The sequence below is a fragment of the Homo sapiens genome, chromosome 4, assembly GCF_000001405.40.
Source record: "Homo sapiens chromosome 4, GRCh38.p14 Primary Assembly".
Taxonomy (NCBI): Eukaryota; Metazoa; Chordata; class Mammalia; order Primates; family Hominidae; genus Homo; species Homo sapiens.
The window spans coordinates 126,279,537-126,302,227 of record NC_000004.12 but is presented as its reverse complement, the minus strand read 5'-3'; the positions used below and the strand labels follow the sequence as shown (position 1 = coordinate 126,302,227).

The window sequence follows — 22,691 nt, the reverse complement described above, 5'->3', positions numbered from 1 at the left end:
TAATGTGTACTCAATGATGTTAATTCTCCTCTGCTTCATCCATTTCTTTCCCACATTTGCCCAAGGTCTGGGTGAATTAAAAATAAGAAAATAAAATGAGAGAGATACAAAAAGACATTAAGAAATATGTGGGAGTCGAGGAAGAATCACTTGGGCATGAAGAGAGACTAAAGACAAATGTAATTTGTGGTAACCACATCATAAACCATTCTGAAGATAAAATAATAATAATTATGTCTGTGGCCTTTTCTACTACTTATTCCCTGATCTACTCATTTATTCCTTAAACCTTGCCATTTAGGATTTCATCTCCAGCTCTTTCCATTTATAGGAGCACAAATAATCTATAAAACATAGTATTAATTTTGCTGTAGTACAAATATGAATTTCATATGCCTGAAAGCATGGTGTGAAGGGATAAACTACTTAGCTGATATATGAACATAGCAGCTTACCTAGTGATACTGTCTAGTTCTGTGTCCCCATCCAAATCTTATCTTGACTCGTAATCTGAATTGTAATCCCCACATGTTGGAGACAAACCTCATGGTAGGTGATTAAATCATGGGACCACTTCCTCCATGCTGTTCTTGTGATCGTGAGTGAGTTCTTATGAGATCTGATGGTTTTATAAGGGGCTTTTCCCACTTCACTCTGTGCTTCTCTCTCCTGCTGTCTTGTGAAGAAGGCCGTGTTTGCTTTCCCTTCCACCATGGTTGTAAGTTTCCTAAGGTATACCCAGCCATACTGAACTGGGGTAAATTAAACCTCTTTCCTTCATAAATTACCCAGACTCAGGTATGTCTTTATTAGCAGTGTGAGAATGGAGTAATACAGTAAATTGGTACCGCAGAGAGTGCGGCACTTCTGTTAAGATACCTGAAAATGTGGAAGTGACTTTGGAACTGGATAACAGGCAGAGGTTAGAACAGTTTGGAGGGCTCAAAAGACAGGAAGATGTGAGAAAGTTTGAAACTTCCTAGAGATTTGTTGAATGGCTTTGACCAAAATTCTGACAGTGATACGGACAGTGAAGTCCAGTCTGAGGTAGTTTCAGATAAAGATGGGGAACTTGTTGGGAATTGAAACAAAGGTGATCCTTGCTATGCTTTAGCAAAGAAACTGGCAGCATTTTGCCCCTCCCTAGAGATCTGTGAAACTTTGAACTTGAGAGAGATAATTTAGCATATCTGGTGGAAGAAATTTCTAAGCAGCAAAGGTTCAAGATGAAGCAGAGCATAAAAGTTTGGAAAACTTGCAGCCTGATGATGAGATAGAAAAGAAAAACCCATTTTCTGGGGAGAAATTCAAGCCCACTGCATAAATTTGCATAAGTGATGAGGAGATGAATATAAATCACCAAGACAATGAGGAAAATGTCTCCAGGGCGTGTGAGAGAACTTCAAGGCAGACCCTCCCATCACTGGCCCAGGGGCTTAGGAGGGAAACATGGTTTCATGGGCTGGGCCCAGCACCTCCCTCCTACTCTGTGCAGTCTCAGGACTTGGTACTGTATTACTCAGCCATGGCTAAAAAGGCCCGATGTACAGCTCAGGTCCTTGCTTTAGAGGGTGCAAACCCCAAGCCTTGGCATGTGGATTGGTCCTGCAGGTGCATAGTAGACAAGAACTGAGGTTTGAGAACCTCCACCCAGATTTCAGAGGATGTATGGAAATGCCTGGATGTCCAGTCAAAAGTCTGCTGAAGGGGAGGAGCCCTCATGGAGAACCTCTTCTAGGGCAATGTGGAAGGGAAATGTGAAGTTGGAGCCCCCACACAGAGTCCCCACTGGGGCACTGTCTAGTGGAGCTGTGAGAAGAAGACCACCATTCTCCAAACCCCAGAATGGTAGATTTGAATGCCAGCCATGAAAGCAAGCAAAAGGAAGGCTGTACACTGCAAAGACACAGAGGCAGAGCTGACCAACGCAACGGGAGCCTAACTCTTACATAAGCATGACTTGGATGTGAGACATAGAGTCAAAGGAGATAATTTTGGAACTTTATGGTTTAATGACTGCCTTATTATATTTTCGACTTGCATGGACCCTATGGTCACTTTGTTTTGGCCAATTTCTCCCATTTTGAATGGGTGCATTTATCCAATGCTTGTATCCCATTATATCTTGGAAGCAACTAACTTGCTTTTGATTTTACAGGCTCAAAGGCAGAATGGATTTGCCTTATCTCAGATGAGACTATGAACTTGGACTTTTGGGTTAATGCTGAAAGGAGTTAAGACTTTGAAGAACTGTTGGAAAGGCATAGTCATGTTTTGAAATGTGAGGAAGACCAGATTTGGGAGGGGACAGGGGCAGAATAATATGGTCTGGCTTGTGTACCCACCCAAACCTCATCTTGAATTGTAATCCAAATTGTAATCCCCACTTGTTGGGGGAGAGACCTCGTGGGAGGTGATTAGATCGTGAGGACGGTTTCCCCATGCTGTTCTCATGATAGTGAATGAGTTCTCATAGGATCTGATGGTTTTGTAAGGGGCTTTTCCCCTTTTCTCTCTGTACTTTTGTCTCCCTCCACCATGTGAAGAAGGACATGTTTGCTCCCCTTCCAACATAAAATTTTCTTGAGGCCTGCCCAGCCATGTTGAACTGTAAGTCAATTAAACATCTTTCCTTTATAAATTACCCAGTCTCAGGCATGTCTTTATTAGGAGCATGAGAATAGATTGATACACCTAGCTATGTTGATATTTAACTAAAGTATATACGTAGTAAAAACTTGCACAGACTCGGCATGGTGGGTCATGCCTGTAATCCCAGCACTTTGTGAGGCTGAGGTGTGTGGATCACGAGTTCAAGAGATTGAGACCCTCCTGGCCAACATGGTGAAGTCCCGTCTCTACTAAAAATACAAAAATTAGCTGGATGTGGTGGTGTACAGCTGTAGTCTCAGCTACTCAGGAGGCTGAGTCAGGAAATTCGCTTGAACCTGAGAGGCGGAGGTTGCAGTGAACCAAGATTGCACCACTACACTCCAGCCTGGCGACAGAGCAAGACTCCATTTAAAAAAAAAATTCACAAAATTATGTATTTTACTTGGGCACAGAGTTCAAAAGAAATTGGTTTTAATGACAAATTTATTTAAATGATTCAATATATGGTAGAAATAAAAATATGGAACATACACTGGTTTGATTTTTCATCATATTTTTATTAAATTTTACTAGGAAAGTCCAGATTATGCTATATTTATAAATTTTGGAATTAAGTTATGAGAAAATATATGAATTTTGAGAAACTCATACATTAATATGGTTCCTTAGAAAATATTATCCTTCTCAAATTGAACTAAACCTGAATATGCTCATGGATATACATAGGATATTTGTTTTCCCAAGTTCCTTTCTGAAAACTTTTAGATAAAGCAAAATAAAACTGAAAGAAATTGTTCAGAACACTGAAGTATGTGTTAAAGCAAAGATTTATTTCACTTGATGTATTTTAAGATAATTTAAGTGTGATTATTTAAAATGAAATGCTTACAAATTTCTAGATTACTATTGGACTTTGATCACAGTAGTCATGGTTGGAAAAATACCTGTTAGGTTATCATGTTCACCCTTCTGCTTGGCCAGGGGTGAACCCAAGAGAGAGGAGTTAGCACTTCATATGCCAAGAAAGCATAATATCTTATAGGGTGCCTAAGAGAAAGCATGGTAGAGCCAAGTCAATATAGTGTTTGACTTCTATCCAATAATCCTCCCCGCCACCCCAGATAAATGTGCTTCTGTCATTCCAGCTACATGGTCTTGGCAACCATATTCTGTTCTAGTTGGAGCATTTGCAAAATTATATCAAGAAAACTATCCAAAAAGAATGCATTGCAGTGCTTTTTAAGGAAAGAAAAGTAGAAGAAAATATCTTACATGTAAAAGAATTAGGACAAATGTGTTCCTGCAATAATATAAAGGAAGTATAAAAAGTGCTAAATCACTAATGAAAAATATTCTGAAAAAGATCAACTATCTCTTCCATTTACTAGTAGAACATCTAACACTGAGACTTATGCATGTGGTAGGATAACAAATCCTGCTTGATGAAGAAGAGTGGTAGGAGATGGAGGACTTTAAGGCAATGTTGTAAATAATATCAATACAGGCTGTTTAATATTCAAAGCCTTTCCCAAGCACAAGGATTTATTAACCCATAGCTTATCACTACTTGATTGAGAACAAGGATGTCTATTAACTCTTTAGGATCCCTGCATTTGTACATCTCTGTTCATCCATTTCCACTTTCCTTTTTAAATTATTTTTCTCATTGTATTTCCTAAAGTGAGATGGAATGGCCCTATGTAGAATCTGGTCCACCATTGTGTTTTGTTTGTGATTCACATATGCTTTTGTTTTTTACAATTAATTAGTTGTCCTATTGAAACATCACACTAATGTCCAGAGTTTGACATTTTCTTGATAAATTTTATAATTGGAAAAACTGGTGACAACTAATTAAAGGCATTTGTTCTGGAGTCTACCATAGTCTCCATCACGTGCTTTGTATCCTGACTGAATCATGGTGTCAGTGGCCACATATAATCAGCATATGCTGTTGTTTATTTTTTAAAATCTACATTGTTTTATTAATTTATATCACCTTACTTGCCCCAGAAGAAACTTGAGTTTGAAAATTTTATCTCCAAGTTTGAATTCCTTCATGATTCTATTCAGAAAACTTTTCCCTTTTCATCCCGTGTCATCTCTCTAGGTGAGATCAAGGACTTCCAGGTCTTCATGAAATCTCATTATTTTTCTTCTTTTAATGTGCTGGTTCTTTCTTTCATGGGTGCCTAATGTTTGGTGCAGCCAAATACCTGGATGACCAACCCAGAATGTTAGGACAAATCCATGGATTTTACCTCTTTTCCAATCTGCGCATACACAATCCACCAAAGCTTTATAATTAAACATTCAAAATGTCTTCAAAATCATTTTACTTGTTTCTGTTTTCATTCTTTCCCATTTATTCCAAGCCACAATCGTATAATTATTATGCTAATATTTGGTGTTATTTGAATAACAAAACAGATTTCAAACAGGTATCCTCACCTCAAGCTGTGTTTTTCTTCAATCACAACTCAACACTAGTGGAAGTGATCTTTCAAATACACAAATCTGCTCATGTAAATACTCTGTGCAAAGCATTGCAAAATTTTTCCCGATTTTATTAGAATAAAAGAAAAACTATGATGTCTTATTCAGCCCCAGAGGTACTGGACCTGGCTGATTTCTCCTGGCATTTCTGTTTTTCACTTAGCATCCCATACTCAATAAATTACATCCCCATTTAACTTTATCCATGCACTAAACTTTTTAAGCTCTGAGCATTCATTCCTAATATGCCCACTGTTTGTGTTATCCTGCCTACTTCTCATTCTGGTATTTTTATTATTATTATTGTTATTATTATTGAGATGGGGTCTTGCTCTGCCACCCAGCCTGGAGTGCAGTGACACGATCTTGGCTCACCGAAGCCTCCACCTCCGGGTTCAAGCCATTCTCCAACCTCAGCCTCCCCAGTAGCTGGGATTACAGGGTTGCACCACTATGCCCATCTAATTTTTGCAGTTTTAGTAGAGACAGGGTTTCAGCATGTTGGCCAGTCTGGTCTCGAACTCCTGACCTCAGGTGATCTACCCACCTCGGGTTCCCAAAGTACTGGGATTACAGGCGTGAGTCACCATGCCAGTCCTAGTCTTATATATTGTTTATTTATGGAAGTCTTCATTAATTCTTCTAGACTAAGTTATAAGCCATTGTGGCCTCCAGACACTTTACTTCTTTGATATAGCACTCTCATGTTTGTATTCTATTATCTGTAATTCCTAACACACTACATGTATTTGGAAGGTAAGAATATGGTCTGTTTTATTATCATTTATTTCTAGCCACTACCTCAGTGCCTGACACCTATTAGTCCTTCAGTGAATATTTACTCTATTAAAGAGGGTATGTGTAAGGAAATGTTTATGTGTTGCAGCTGTTATAAGGTCTCCAATAAACCAATAGGTTTTATTCTTCTTAAGCTTTGGTGTTTGCAAAAATAATTTCTAATTGTTTTCTTTCTATAGCCATAGTTCTCATTAAAAAGCATATTAATGCTCCTTTAAGTGGTCAAGACACAATTACTACATTTTTATATTTACAGAAAGATCTATTGAATTTTTATGAAAGAATAATAAAAAATAATATAACCATGGCATGACACTGGAAATTATTTGATTTATTGCTTTCAATTTTTATTCAACTTCAGCAATTTACTGCCCATATTTTAATTTACTTCCTTTCCACAAGTCTGCTTAGTTGGGTTGTCTGCTGATACGTCCTAAAAAACAATATTCCGCTGAGAAATATGAATAAAACTTTTTAGCTGAATGAGAACATTTAAACAATAACATAAGAATGTACCTGTTTCCCCAAGATTATCTATCTTGAAATCACAGAACCTGGGAAGTATCATAAAAGAGATAAATATTTTAACCACTACTAAAATGTGTTGCAATTGCAGCCATATTGGTTGTTAAGAACACTGAAGAAGTATGAAGTAATCAACAGTTGGGACCAACAGTTGATATCAGGAGTCCATAAGCATTGAGAAACATTCAGAGTCTTATTTGGATTGCTAGTAGTCAATGGATGGTAAGGAAGCCAAAGAGTTTGAGAACCACTCCATGAGGTAAGGAAGGTGGAAAAACAGCCACATGTCTGAGAGACTACAAAATTTAAGCATTATGTTGGACATAGGTGAACAAAAATTAAGACATCTTTGAAGCGTGGTAAGGTGTAAAAGGCATGATAATATTCAGTGTTAAGAAAATTACACCGTTATGAAAATAATACCCTCATGCTGTATTATTGAGTGGTTAAAAACCTTCAGTTTCACAAAATCGTAAAAATATCCATACCCTAGATTCACAATTTAAAATTTAGAAATTATTTTCATGGATGTGTACCAAGTTTTTGCTCTAGGAATGTTTATTTCTGTCCTCTACAATAGCAGAACAGAGCAAAATAACTCAATAAGGGAACAAACAAAAGTGACAATTTAATTCCCAGTGGTAGGGATATATTAAGTTTACTAATAATGGACACATGGAAGAACAAATAAATAAATGAATAGATAGACAAAACTAGATATAAAAAACTGAAAGCTTATACTCCAAATATTAACAATGGTTATTTCTGAGTGGTAGATGTTTGTAATATTTTAATTCATTGTTATTTTCAAAAGACAGAAATACCATTCAACCTAGCAATCCATTACTCGGTATATACCCAAAGGAATATAATTCATTCTGCTATAAAGACACATGCACGCGTATGTTCATTGCATCTCTATTCACAATAGCAAAGATATGGACTCAACCTAAATGCCCCTTAACAATAGACTGGAGAAAGAAAATGTGGTGTATATACACCATGGAATACCCTGTAGCTATAAAAAAGAATGAGATCATGTCCTTTGCAGGCACAAGGATGGACCTGGAGGCAATTATCCTTAGCAAACTAATGCGGGAACAGAAAACCAAATACCACATATTCTCACTTATAAGTGGGAGCTAAACAATGAGAACACATAGCTACATAGAGAAGAACAACACATAGTGGGATCTATAGGAGGGTGTATGCTGGGAGGAAGGAGAGGATCAGGAAAAATAACTAATGAGTACTAGGCTTAAAACCTGTGTCATGCAACAACAACAAACCCCCATAACACAAGTTTACCTATATAACAAACCTGCACATGTACTTCCTGAACTTAAAATAGAAGTTAAAAGATATATATTCGAAATATTTCAATTTTTCACTCCAACTCATACTGATAGTTCCCAAAATGACAAAGCAATCTCAGTGTTTTATAAAGTAATCTTAACGTCTAGGAACTTAACGCAGTTACAACATAGTTGCATTCTATAAATGTTAATCCCTTTAATTTATTGTATACCTCCCTTTTTCTTGAAAAAGCAACAAAAATTTATTAATAGAATAATGAACTGTAAAAGGCAAGAATGAAATGGAAATGAGATTTTTGTATGACCACTGTTTCAATTGATAACTTTCAAGAGTATTGAACCATGTCACCATTCATCTTAGGATCTCTCTGTGAAGCTTGTCTTTAAGGGTGCTGATTGCCCTAACAATAAACTTGACATTACATTTCTATATACTATTTGCTTTAAAGTTTAGCTGCAGTTTCAAATCATGTAGAAAAAGAGAAGCCTAAGACTGCCAATGAGGTGATCTTCATAGGCTGAGGAATTCAATCACTGTTTCCATCTGTGACTTTGGTTTCTAGTTCATCCTGTAGATGTTGTGTGGCAAGCCGCAGAAAAGAAGAAACAAGATAATCTTTAAGTGTATTGAATTTTGTAGCTATACCTAAAAAAATTCTTCAGAGCCTACAAGAATATTTTAAACCTCAGTAAACATGGTTGGCTTTTCATATATACTGCCAAACAAACCATTAACACATACTTATACTTCAGAGAACACAAAATGGAATATCATAATTTGTAAATACTTCTGTTACGTTTGAGAATAAAAAATTAAATCAAAGACAATAAACTATAAATTATAGTTCCAAATAAGTACAATGATGATACATTACACTATACTTGACAGCCATTTAATAAATGTTTGTGGAATATTGATTGAAATTTGGCTTTTCTTGAAGAGTTTGATATCATGTAGTGAACAATAAAAATCTCTATTTTTTATCTATGTATTATTTTTGGCAAGATTATACTAGAGTCAGAAATGATTGAGAACACTTAAAGTCGTTTATACTTATCTAATTCACTGTTTAAGAATTCAGAAGAATACAAATTTCTGAGCTGAATTTTGTTCAGTGAGTCTACAGGAGTAACTAGTAACTTTTATCCCAGGTGTATGGGTACCAACTCACCTAAATATGCAAATGTATTAATATCATTTGTGTTTGATATGTTAATATTTTAAAACTGTCTTTTTAAAGTTATGCCAAAATTAAATTTGCAATGGTATTTGTGCGTGATTCATGAATCTTTCAGGGAGACAATATAACTTATAGATAGATGTTCTTATTTTTGAAATCTCTGTGACATCTCTTACTTCAATAATATTTTTCAATCAAGTCTATTTTGAATTAAATTGTATTACAAAATTGACATCATGGCTTCATATAGGATTATTATTGATATACTCCAGGATGGTATAGAATATTATATCTTTTAAGTTGTCACTTGAAAGCAAGAAAAAATATCTTTATCTCTGTAAATAGAAAAGGAATTTACTAGAGAATATTTAAGTAGTTTACAGAATTGTTGAACTTTCTAGAGAATGAGTTTAAGGCTAACCTTTCAGGAAACATGTCATAAACACCACTGTAGATATAGCGTAATGAAAATACCACTGCCCTCCTGCTAGTTAGCAGCCAAGCTCTAGAGAAAATAGCAATGATGCTTTTTTCAGGCCTTTTCATGAAAACATCTCTGCATAGGCCTGAGACATTGCTAACTCTGATACTAATTAATTACAGATGCTTCTGCTGCCACCATGACAAAGAAAATAGATTAGGCCCAGTGCTTAATGTCTTCAATTACACATTTAGGAACGTAAATGCCCTAACAGTTGACTGTTGCGTGTAAACTTACCTGCCTCTGTACTAGCTGTCAAGGAAGCTGGTGAATTTTCTGTTTCACCTTGATCAAGAAGGATCTTGAACCTAAAAATGTTCCCTTATAGTTACGGTAGCAATCTGCATTTTTATTATAGTTAGCAAAAGCTCGAGTCAAATACTTCCAAAATTTATCAATTCAAAATGTTTGATGCCTGATTTATCAAAGAAGACAATCACTGTACATATTTTATGACTTAAAATTTAGCACACAATTGACATATACATTTATAAAGATAGTAGATCCAGAAGCAAAATACATAAGAAATGAGACAAGAAAGCAAATGTTATTTATTAGATCCATTTGACAACATTAAGTATATTAACATAGAACAGAACAATAAAGTCCAATTGAAAAGTCATCATTTGAGATTATAAAAGAAAGTAAATGATATACAACAGTTGACTTTCAAGGGAAGTACACCAAGACAATTCAATTACACAGAACAAGTTCTAGGACAAATGGTTCTAGGACAACTGTATATCTGCATGCAAAAGAATGAAGTTAGATCTCTTGCTTATGTCAGACAGAAACAATAACGTCAAACAGAACACAGAACAAAACCTAAGAGCTAAAATTATTAAACAGTTGAAAGGAAACATACAAGTAAATCTTTATGACCTTGGGTTTGAGAAGCTCCTATTAGATTTAACACCAAAAACACAATAAAAGAAAAATAAATACACTGAAATTCATCAAAATTAAAAACTTTTATGCTTCAAGGGACACTGAAAGAAATATGAAAATACAACTCAGAATGAGGCAGAACATTTGAAAATAATTTATTTGATAAGGAATTTGTATACAGGATATTTAAATAATGCAACACAATAACAAAAAGACAATAAATCAAAATTTTAAAAGTACAATGGATTGGAATAGGCATTTCTCTAAAGAATACATACAAATGTCTAATAAGCACATGAAATAATTACCCATTTGAGTAATGCAAATAAAATCCACCATAAGATATTTTACACACACTAGGAAGGTTATAATCAAAAAGAAAGAAAACAAGTGTTTGTGACACTGTAAAAAAATTGGAAACATCATTCCTCGCAAATGAGAATATTAATTGGTAAAGCCATTTTAGAAAACAGTTTGGCAGTTCCTCAAAATGTTAAATATAGAGTTACCATATGACCCAGCAATTCTATTCCTAGGTATATACCCAAGAGAACTGAAAAGATATCCCCACACAGAAACTCGTACATGAATGTGCATAGCAGTATAATTCCTAAGAATGTCAAAGAAGTAAAGAAAACCCTAGTGTCAGTCAACTGAGTAGATAAATACAATTACACACACACACACACACACACACACACACACAGGAATATCATTTAGAAATTAAAAGAAATGAAGTCTTTAAATACCCTACAACATGAATGAAGCTTGAATACATTATGTTAAGTGAACGAAGCTGGTCACAAATGACTACATATCATATGATTAGATTTCTACTAAAATATCTAGAACAGAAAAATCTATAGAAAGAGAAAGCAGAATAGGGTTCTCCTAAGGATGACATTACTTGAGATAAATGAGAAGTAACTATGAATGAGCGTGGGCTTTATTTTGGAGATATAAAATGTTCTAATATTGTGATGAGGATTGCACAACTCTGTGACTACATTAAATACCATTAAATTATGTCCTTGCATGGATGTATTATATAGTATGCTAATTGCATTTCAATAAAGTTAAAAGTAGGTAGTTTACTTTTTTTTTTGTAAAAGTTTTAAAGCTTGGATATGATGCTGGGTATTTTTCTTAAATATTTTGTTAGTCAAAATATTTATGGAGGAATGCCCCAAAAATCATTTTATTTGTCAGTTATTCATCATTTCAAGTACATTAAATGTCATCAAATATAAATGTACAGCAACAGCATTATGAAGCCAAGCTTTAATTTCCAAGGAGTGGAAACCACCAATTACTATAAGTAATACCTGTGAACAGGGTAAATGACTTATATTAATGAATTTACCAGAAAAGTAATAAAATATAATAAAAGTTAAAGAAGTTATACAAATGCTTCTCTTGCTCAAAACCCCTATGACATCTAAACAAAATTGGAAAGTTTTACTGCAAATTAATGCTAGAAATTTGCTTTTACACATCCATCAAGAAAGAGGTAACACTCAAATTATTCCCTCAATATTTTAATCATCTTTTGTGTTTCAAGATAAATACATTATCAACTCTATTAAATGTATATATAAAACTGGAATAAACCATCTCAGAGTTTTTATATCTTATTATATCATAAACAAAATTCAAAAATGTTCTAATTAAGACCCAGTGTATGCATTAAAATGCCTGTCTCAATTAGTTTCAATAAATAGAAATAAAAATTTAAATATTTTTATGGATAAATTTGTTATAATTATTGACACCACCATATCACTAACATGCAATTATTCATTCTAGTTTGGTTAATCAAGTATTTATATAACTTTGTTACTTTTACAATTAAGTTTCATGAGCCTGGATGGCAGGCATCTATTACCTGAGTTGCCAATCGTAAATCAAGGGTATATAGCATTCTTTCAGAATATAGAGGAGGGAGGACTTCTAAACTCATTCTATAAGGTCATTATTGTCCATATACCAAAGCCACAAAAAGACATCACAAGGAAAGTAAGCTACAGGCTAATACGCTCCATGAATGTAAACGTAAAGATCATTACAAAGTACTTGGATCCAGAAACATTTTTAAAGGATCATATATCATAACCCAGTTATGTATTTAACTTACTAAAACCAATTAATATAATTGTCATACTAACAAAAAAGGGAGGAGACATACACAAATATCTCAACAGAGGCAGAGAAATAATTTGACAAAATTCAACACTGTATATAAAAACCTTCAATAATCTATAAATAGAAAGAGACTTCCTCAATCTGAAAGAAAAACAAATATCTGAAAAACTCACAGCTAAGCTACATTTAATGGTGAAACAAAAATGCTTTTAATCCCCTAAAAGTAAGAAGAAATCGAAGATGTCCATGCCACCAGTTTTATTTAAATAGTACTAGTTACAGGTACTGTAATAAGGTGTGTAAATGTGGGTACAAAAGAAGAAAGCAAGGGAGAAAAAGATTAATGTCATCAAGACTAGAAAGAAGTAAGACTATCTTTACTTGCAAATGACAGGATCTAATAGGCTGATTATCCAAAGAAGACACACACACATGCATGCACACACAAATCTCCTAAAATGTGTAAGTCAGTTTACCTAGTTTGGATCAATATAAAAATCATTTGTATTTCTAAAGCCTATTAAAGAGTGATCTAAAAATAAAATTAAGAAAAAGTTTCATTCATAATGGCATCAGAAAGGTAAAAGTATACAGGAATACATTTTTCAAAGTTTCAGGTTTATACCCAGAATTGTATAAAATGTTTGCAGTGAGAAAATAAAGAAGGTCCACATAAATTGAGAGATAATCTGTTATTATTAATTAAAGGAAAAATACATTCAGGATGACAATTCTCTTCAAATGAATTTGTAAATTCATTGCAAGCCCAATAAAAATTCTAGAAATTTACAATCTGGTTTTAATATTTACATGAGAATGTAAAGGACATAGAATAGCCAAGACAATATGTAAAAAATATAATAGGATTGAAGGACTGACACTACCCAATTTTAAAACTTATGATGAAGCCACAGTAATAAAAAAAAAAAAAGCGTGGTACCGGCATAATGATAGACAGAGAAAGCAATAAAACCGACTCAAGAGTTCAGAAGTAAATGCTTACTTTTAAAGTATATTGATTTTCAACAAACTCTTCAAGATAAGCCAATGCGGAAAACTTTAAATTCAACAAATGATTCTGGGAATATTGGACATAAAAAGGAACCTAGACCCTCACCCCATATAAACACAAACATTAACAAATAGTCTAACCTAAATGTATGAGAAAAAGTAGGAATTTAGAATAAAACACAGGAGAAAATATTCATGAAACTGGGCCAGTCAAGGGCTCTTAGATATGGTAACAAAAGCAAATTCATAGTACAAAGAAAAAATTGATTTTTTTCATAATTAAAAACTTTTGTATTTCAAAAGATCTTTAAAAAAGAAAGAACAATCAATAAAATGGAAAAATGTTTGCAAATTTTATATCATGATGAATTTGTATATAGTAACTGAAAAATTCTTTAAACACAGTAATGAGATAAATAACAATTTTCTTAAGTAGGCATGCTATTTAAAGACAGATTTTACTAAAGAGCATATATAAATAGCTAATAAGAGCACATATAAATAGCTAATAAGCACAGGTAAAATCGCTTAAAATCCTTAGTTATTAGAGAAATCTTAACACCACAATGAAGTACCACTTAATATGAGAATGCCTATATTAAAAACCATAAGCGACACCAAGTGTTGGCAGGGGTTTGGAGAAACTGGAATCTTTGTGTATTGCTGAGGGTAATATAAAACGGTACAGCCACTTTAGAAAATAATTCCTCAGTTTCTTAAAAAGTTAAGCATAAGCTTTCCATATGACCCAGTAATGCCACTCCTAAAAATCTAATTACCAGAATTGAAAATTTATGTCCACACAAGCTTTTGTCAGTAAATGTTCATAGCAGCATTATTCATAGAAGCTGAAGACTGGAAGGGTCTAATCCAAATGTCTATCAATAGTTGCATGCATAAACTAAGGTGCCTTAGCCACACAATAGAGTAACTAATCAGTAATAGGAAAGACACACTTTTTCCTTTTATCGATACATACCACAACATGCTTTCATCTAAAAAAACAAGCAAAAAGCCCGCAACGTTCTTCTTAATGAAATAAATCAGATGCAAACGGCCTCAAGTTGCTTGATTCTAATTACATAAGATGTCTAGAAAAGAAAAATTTATAGACAGACAGCAGATAAGTGGCTCTCTAAGGATGTAGTTAGAGGAGGAATTAACTGCACACAGGTATGAGGCGACTATTTGGGTTAGTAGAAATGTTCTAACAGTGAATTTTGAGTGAAAGTTGCACAAGGTGAATAGATATACTAAAAATTGTGGAATTGTATACTTCCAGACAGAATTTATGACCTATAAGTTATCACTCAATAAAACTGTGAAAAAATAATGGTGAGTGAAAAGCTCTGTTTGCCATTTAAAACCTACAAATTTCAGGATTGAATTTAATCTCATCAACTTTTATTACATGTCCACTCATGAAATAATTACTGTACCTATGGGGAAGGGGTTTACAATAGTCAGGTATAAATTGTGGGCCAAATGGATCTGGAGCCTATGGACAGTCTCTCCTGGTTAATAGGGAGAGGATGCAGGAGTTAGTTTACCAGTAAAAATACTAAAAAGGAAGAAAAAGAACAAGAATGCCACTACTTTTAAACGAATGTGAAATTCTATTTTAATTGAAGCAAAGTAGAATGAGCCCTCTGTATCCATGAGTTCCACATCTGTGGATTCAAGAAACTACAGATTGAAAATATTCAGACAAGAAAAATGAATTGTTTGTCTGCACTGAACAAGTACAGGCCTTTTTTCTTGCCATCATTCCCTAAACAACATAGTATTAGTACAACAACAATTTACACAGTATTTACATTGCATTAGGTACTTTAAGAACTCTAGAGATGATTTAAAGTACGTGAGAGGATGTAGGTAGGTTATATGCAAATACTACACCATCTTATATAATAGACTTGAATATCTCTGGATTTTGGTATGGGGAAGGGCTAGAAACAATCCTCGGTGAATACCTAGAGAACTGCATTTACTTTTATTAGGCTGAAATGGAAGGCAAAATACCAGTAGCTATTAGATCAATATCAGAAGTAAAGAGAAGTAGAGATGTTATCTGAGAATCAGAAATCTTTATATTGGGAGCATGGAGAAGATTAGGGCATTTGGACTTTTTGTCATTGGATGTTAGTCTTGTAGACAGGTCGGTTTAGTTCCTGACATGGAGATCCAAAGATGTACTGATCCACAGTCCTGATGCGAAAAATTTGTGGATCTTCTTCCTGACATGGAAAAGTTGCTTTATTTTGTATTAAAATAAAAATTAGCCTCTGACACTAAGGGAAAGTAGAAAGTGTACAAACATATTTAAGCTTCCTTGTCGTTGAACATTATTTAACACTGTACTCTTTAAAGGCAGCTGAAGTAAATTCCAGCACTCCAACATGCCCTTACCTTTCAAAAGACTGAAGAACCTCATTAGATGTTTTTTTCAAAGGAAAGTTGAAAAATACATTACTGAACTGGAAGAGATAATTTTTGCGTTTGACTTTCCCATGTGCTCTTTTACGGCACTAAACATGTTGTTTAACTTCTGAGCCTTAGTTTTTCATTATAAAGTTATAAATAGCAGCATATTTTCTAACCCATTTGTAAGAAATGAGAAACCTTATATGAAATCACTCAGTAAGTGGCAAAGCATTTTAAAACTTGAAGGCACATTTCTATTTTTATTTAACTTGAAAATAAATTACTTTTTCTCTGTCGAAAGCACACAATAACTTCTAAATGTATGTGACAATGCCCCTAAAACAATCTCTAAATATATATTATATATATCTTGCTTTTAGAAAGCCAAGTATTTTTTCTACAGAGAGAAAATCAATTTATTGTTCAACTCAGTGTGGAGATTTATTTGTAACCTGCCTGTCAACTCAGCGCAATGTCAATGTAGATTCCTCAAATAGTTTTTATTTTAGAAAACTAAGTTTTTATTTTAGCAATATTGCAAAAATAGTACAGCAATTTCCCTTGTACCACACAGTTTTCCCCATTATTGACATCTTACATTAAGTATGGTACTTTTGCCACGAAGAGCCAATATTGGTACATTATTGTTAAGTAATGTCCATAGTTTCTTTAGACTTCCTTATTTTCTACCTAATGCCCCTTTTTTGTTTTAACATCCTATCCACATTACCACATTACATTTAGTCATCCTATCTTCTTGGTTTTGATTAACTTGGTAGGTTTGAGGAATATTAAATAGGTATTTTATAGAATGTCTCTCATTTGGGATTTGCCCATTGATTTTCTCATGACTACACTGAAGTTATAATCTGGGGGAAAGAAGAACACAAAGTAACAATCTGTTTTTCATTAGACCATGTCAAGTGTACATACAGTTAACATGGTTCATCACTATTGATGCTAATTTTGATATCCTGGTTGAGATAGTGTTTTCCAGGTTCTCCATTCTAGAGTTACCCTTGTATAACCCTTTCCATACTGTGTTCTTTGTAAATAAGTCCACATATGAAGCCCACACTTAAGGAATGGGCAGTTACATTCCACTTCCTTGAGGGTACAGTAATGACATAAATTAATTGGAATTCTTTGGCATGGGAGATCTCTTATCCTTCATGTGTTTATTTATTCAACGATTTATATTAGTATGGAATCTGGATATTTATTTCATCTTTTGAGATATAATTCAATAATACTTTACATTTTGTTACTCAACTGTTCTAGCTTTGGCCATTTGGAAGCTTGAAAGGTTGGATCTTGTGTCCCTTTGACATACCTCCAACATTGTAGGTTGTTTTTAAAAATGTGTTTGTTTGTTTTGAAAATTTTCCTACTTTCTTGTACTACAAGATACTCCAGGCTCATAATCCATATTTTCTGTCCTAATCCAAGAGTCAGCTATTTCTATAAGGAGCCTTGGTTCTTTTAATTAGATAATGGTATTAACAGTCAAGAGCAGGATGCGAGGCGTGCTCTTTGCTGCTGCAACTCCTTGTTTTGGGCTCTCTCAGCTGACAAAGCAAGGAAATGTGTGTGTGCGCATAATCACCCATGCATATACACATATTTATATATATTTCTATAGATAAACATCTACATTTACATTAAGCTGAAGGTAAGTTCATACTGATGTCTATACCTCTAATCCAATACCATGTGAATTATTCAAGCTTACTCCCTTTACTTAAATCTAACTTCCCACTTCAACAGTTGAGTTTTTGGACTCCCAATATTTGCCATACATTTACTTAATTGTTCAATTCCAGTTTACATGTGTAGTGGTTTTAGAATTGTTGATCTGTGTGCTCCATGAGACACCACTTTGTCAACTAACATACATGCTTATGTAGATTATGTGTGGTTTCTTTGGACTTTATTCTTACAGACTCCACTCATTTCTAGTTATTTAGATCAACACAGTTTTTCTACACCCCTAAGACTGAGGTTGTTTTGTACATTTGTAATACATTTAGATAATTTTTTCACATTCTGCATTCTATCCCAGAATCCTCCAGTTAAGTGATTAAAAAAATTTGCACAGATTGTTTCACGCTTTGAGTCACATAATTCTCCAGATTTTAACAAATTATCTTTAAAAATTTCTGATTACTCTTAAAAAACTTACGAAAGTTATTGTGAAGGTGGTTCTGGATTATTGCAATCTTCTCTGATCTTCCAAATTTCTATTCATTGCTACTTTGCTCTTTATGGTTTCACTTATTCCTGCTATGTATGAATAATACATTTAGTAGAGAACATGGCAACTCCTGTGGCCAAGAAATATAATGACTGGGAGATTTCAGCTTTTCTCTTTGGCTATACAATTGATCTAAATTAAATACAATTAATTAATTTAATACAAGAATTGGGTAGCTGAGAATAACATAGAGTTAAGGAGGCATCTAGAAAAGAAGGAAAAGCAGCGCTGAGAATCAGAATACACTGAAAGAGGAATTGGGAACACATGTTTAGCTGTCAATTTGCTAGACTTGTACAGGATACACTTCAAGATTTTATTAAGGTTAAACTTATTAGGATTGAATGGAACAAGCCCAAAGCAAACTCAACTTACCAAGTGAGGTTCAAATTTGTTTTGGTTCCAGGGCTCTTTTATCAGGATTAAACACGAGTAAGACTAAATGTCTACTATACCACAGATCAACGTCACAGAAGAAGCTAAGGATGTATAAATTCTCAATGCAATTCTGCTTATCATGTGCTGGGTGACTTCTTGTGTCATCATTTATATGGAAGAACTATGGGATGCATGAACTTCATATACTTCTTCATAAAGTAAATAGGTTAATCTTTAGATAGCAATAGTTGGATTAACCTGAAAACAAATGAGAATCATGAATTTGAGGCTTATAAAAATCTTTAAACTATGAATTTAAATTTTTGTATCAACATGCATGTAATCTCCATGTAACATTTAAAAATGTAAACATCATGGGGAGGTAAGCATTATAAAATATGCACTAAATTAGACCAGCTAAGCAAGCAAACCATAGTTGAGAAACATATTTTTATCTGGAAAAAAAAGTGAGTAAACTCTTAAAGGAGCTAGTTGGCTTATCTACTGAAATAATTAAATTGATGGAAAAACTAAATGAATTATGAAAAAGCTAAAGAAAAACCCTAACTGTAATAGTGGAATGAGAAAGAAAAAAGTAGAGTGAAAAAAGAGTGAGTCACATTGAGAATGTTTTTTACTGATACAAACTTATGAAGCACAGTCTGTTCTCAAAAAGGTTATTATCTTTAAGTGTTAATGTAAATCTATTCTCAAATTATAATTTATTATTAATAATTTATGATGATAACACTACTGACAATTTATTGAATATTTACTATGTCAGGCATTGTGTTAATCTTTTTCTAGACATTACTTCATTGAATTCTCTCAAGGATTTTGTGAGACTAGTATATTTATCTCAAGACATGTCCTGACACAGGCACCAAGGCTTAAAAAGTTTCCATGTTTGCAGTTTATGTTGAGCTAAGAAATTAAGATTCAGTGTTCAATTCAACGTTTTACCACAAACTCACTGTTAAATAGTATATTTATAGATGTATACATTGTATGTATTAAAAATAATGTCTCAACCTTCTATACTTCCTAGATGTGTTTATCTACCAACACAACGAAGAAAAAATTTTCAAAGGATCAGAAAGCATAGGTGCTACCAGCATGTCTTCAGTTCTTCTGAAATTAGAAGCTTCCAAGTATTCTGCCTGGCATATGCCATGTAAAAAGAGTGCTGAGCTCACGGCTGCAGTAGACATTGGTTCATATGGATAATACAGTTACACATGATAGGGGAGTATGTGGGTGCCTGATGATGCTAATAATTTCTTCTCATTATCAATGTATTCTATCCTTGGGGATCAAAATTTTTCTGGCAAATTTTATGAACTAAAAGTTTTTAAGAATATTTCACAATCATGTTATACCCTACAGTATATGGTTAACAATGAACAAGGAAATCATGTGTGAAGGAGTGGAGATGGTTTTTAGAGCTCCTTCTTTCACATGGAAACTTTTGGTCTGCCTTAAAAATATAAAAAGAATAGTATGAGATTATATGCTTTAATTAGTTTTTTATGGGACATAGTTTGGAGCAATCTGCATTCCAAACAATCATCACCTGTAACATGTTTGTAAAAATGTTTTGCCTTATGAAGACCTATGATACACAACATGTTGATATAAGTATACTTTCTGAGTCTAAAAAAATTCAATGGAAAGGAAAAACACATATGTCTCATTTCTCTGTGACAAAATAACTATGCCTTGATTTATATTCTATTAAATATAGTAAATTAATAGCAGCTATTTGCAATGACCTTTTATAATCCATAGAAGCACAGAGTTTCAGTGGAATTTGAAATCACAGAGTTGGAATATTTCCTTGGCTTTGACTCCATTCAATTCTGTGAGACCTCCCAACACTCTAATATTACACACACATCTGAATTCTCCTATATTGTTATACAGATGATTACATGTAGTGTTAGCCATTCCCCTATCCCTTCCATGCTCCCTGATGTCTACTGTTCCAAAGTTGAAGATGGCAATGATGGTGTGTAGGCACTGCAAATAAATTACGGCTATTAACCCTGCAATGGCAGCAAATTGACATAGCCTGTTCAGGGCACTAATATTGGATATTCTAGCTCTTAGCTGGTATGGCAATTGTCATATAATTCTGTTTTTCAAAATTGCTTTAACACATCTCCACCAACACCTCAATACTTGAGCCTTGGGCTTCTAATGCATTGCAGATACCTTAATAAAATTGTTTGATTCTGCAACCCATTCTCCTAATTCAATGGAAAGGAAAAAACATGAGTCTATGAGGAAGTAGCTAAGGTCAATCTGAGTGATTAACACTCAACTTCCCTTCAAATCACCCACCTGTGGCCATACCTTGGATGGAGCTTGAACACCTCAACTGGCTTTTCCTTGGTGAAGGCCTCTTTCAATTGAGGCTCCTTTTTTTCCTTTTGCTCATTGTCACCTGGCAGTTTTGTTCTGCAGACTTTCCAGGCATGACTCTTCCTCTCACCACCATCACCAACATATCAAGGAAACACCACTGGTACCACAGATAAAATATCACCATACTACTGAAGCTGCAGAATAAAATCGTTATAAAATTACATTGGCATCAAAGATTTCTTGTCATTGGTCACTATTGAACATTGGAAAAGAATAGGTAACAGTGGGGTGAGTACCCTATTCGAACCACAATGGGACATCCCATTTTCTTCTGGATTAGCCAATTACAGGAAATGTTTCTATGCCACAAACACCCTTCTAGATACTGCATTGTCTGAGACCCCACATTTCATTTAGGAATATCTTCTTGGGATGTCTAAAGGAGGGTTATCCAGAGTAAGAGAATTAGCTGGATGCTGAGAGAAATGTCAGGGCACAGAAGCACATCATTCCTGCTTGATGGTCTTTGGGTGAAGTGCACCTCTCCCCAGAGAGCCACATGAATGGCATCTAGTATAGCATTAGGAGTGTGAGCACAGAGGATGTTCAGTGCCAACTCATTGCACAGGGGTGCACCTGGGTCTCTGGGTACTAGAGTAGGCTGAGCTTGCTCAGATAGAGCTCAACAAGATCTTTCTACTGATTCTACTGATTCTCACACTTTTCAATCAGCCCCATCTGTCTAATACCTGACTAATACTAATATGACTAATAATTTATCTGCCATACCTCCAGCACATAAAAACTTTACCTATTTCATGACCATGTGAGCAAACGAACAGCATTAAGTATCCTACCATATTTTTTTGCGCTTTTGCCTCACCTTTAATAATTTTCAAACTAAGATTTTCACCTCTTTGTCTTCCGGTTTGGCTCCAATAATCTTTCCCTAAAGTGATGAATGGCACATGTCTAAGGCTGCAGGAGCACATGGAAGGGTCCTTGAAGTAAAAGTAAATACATTATATGAAGCACAGTTGGCAATAAGTGACACAATTGAATTCCTCAAATTAATCCAACACATAAGCATCACTCACTTTGAACAGAAGAGGAATCTCCTTGGCGTTAAGTAATGATTCTCAAGAGGGATGTCCTCTTCACAGAGTCACAGAGGTGAATACAACATAATCACTTTGAGAACCTTTTCAAACCATACCTCCCCAGTAACATGCACTCCTTAAGGGAAATGGAGTTTTCCTCTCATCTCTCATCAAAATCACTAGTAGAATGCAAATTGGTCGTATAATTCAGGGTTTTTTTTTCTTCTAATGATATAAAAATACAATTATAAGAATCACATTAATATTAAAAGAAATGACAATAATAAAACAATGACAATAATGAAGTAAAATGGCATTTGCTAATGATTTCCAAAGAGTGGCTTAAGTTCAAATAAATGAGTAATTTACTCAGCATTCTGCATAAACATCTCTATTAACTTATAAGCTGTCTTTTAAGAAAATCGTATAAATTTAAGGGGTACAAGGGCAGTTTTGTGACATGGATGTATTGAGCAGTGGTGAAGTCTGGGCCTTAGTGTACATGGTACCCACTAAGTAATTTTTCATCATTCTCCCCTCTCTTACCATTGGATGTTTATCACAGTACTCTTCGTATTAGCAAATGTATGATTTTTTAAAATTTTCTCTTGTGATAGACACATCATAAAGATCTAGCAAACACACACACACACACACACACACACACACACACACACTATTGGTTCTGTTTCTCTGGGGAATTCTAATACTGACATG

The 22,691-nt window shown here is 34.2% G+C and overlaps 1 long non-coding RNA gene across 1 annotated transcript; it reads right to left on the bottom strand.

Annotated features, from left to right (window-relative positions):
• Nucleotides 1-17,848: 17,848 nt before the first annotated feature.
• LOC105377410 (uncharacterized) lies at nucleotides 17,849-22,199 on the bottom strand. The gene is made up of 4 exons (XR_939182.3): nucleotides 21,972-22,199; nucleotides 21,788-21,875; nucleotides 20,863-21,068; nucleotides 17,849-18,765 (listed from the first exon to the last, which is right to left on the bottom strand). It is a non-coding gene; the product is annotated as an uncharacterized LOC105377410 (long non-coding RNA).
• Between the last annotated feature and the right edge of the window lie 492 nt (nucleotides 22,200-22,691).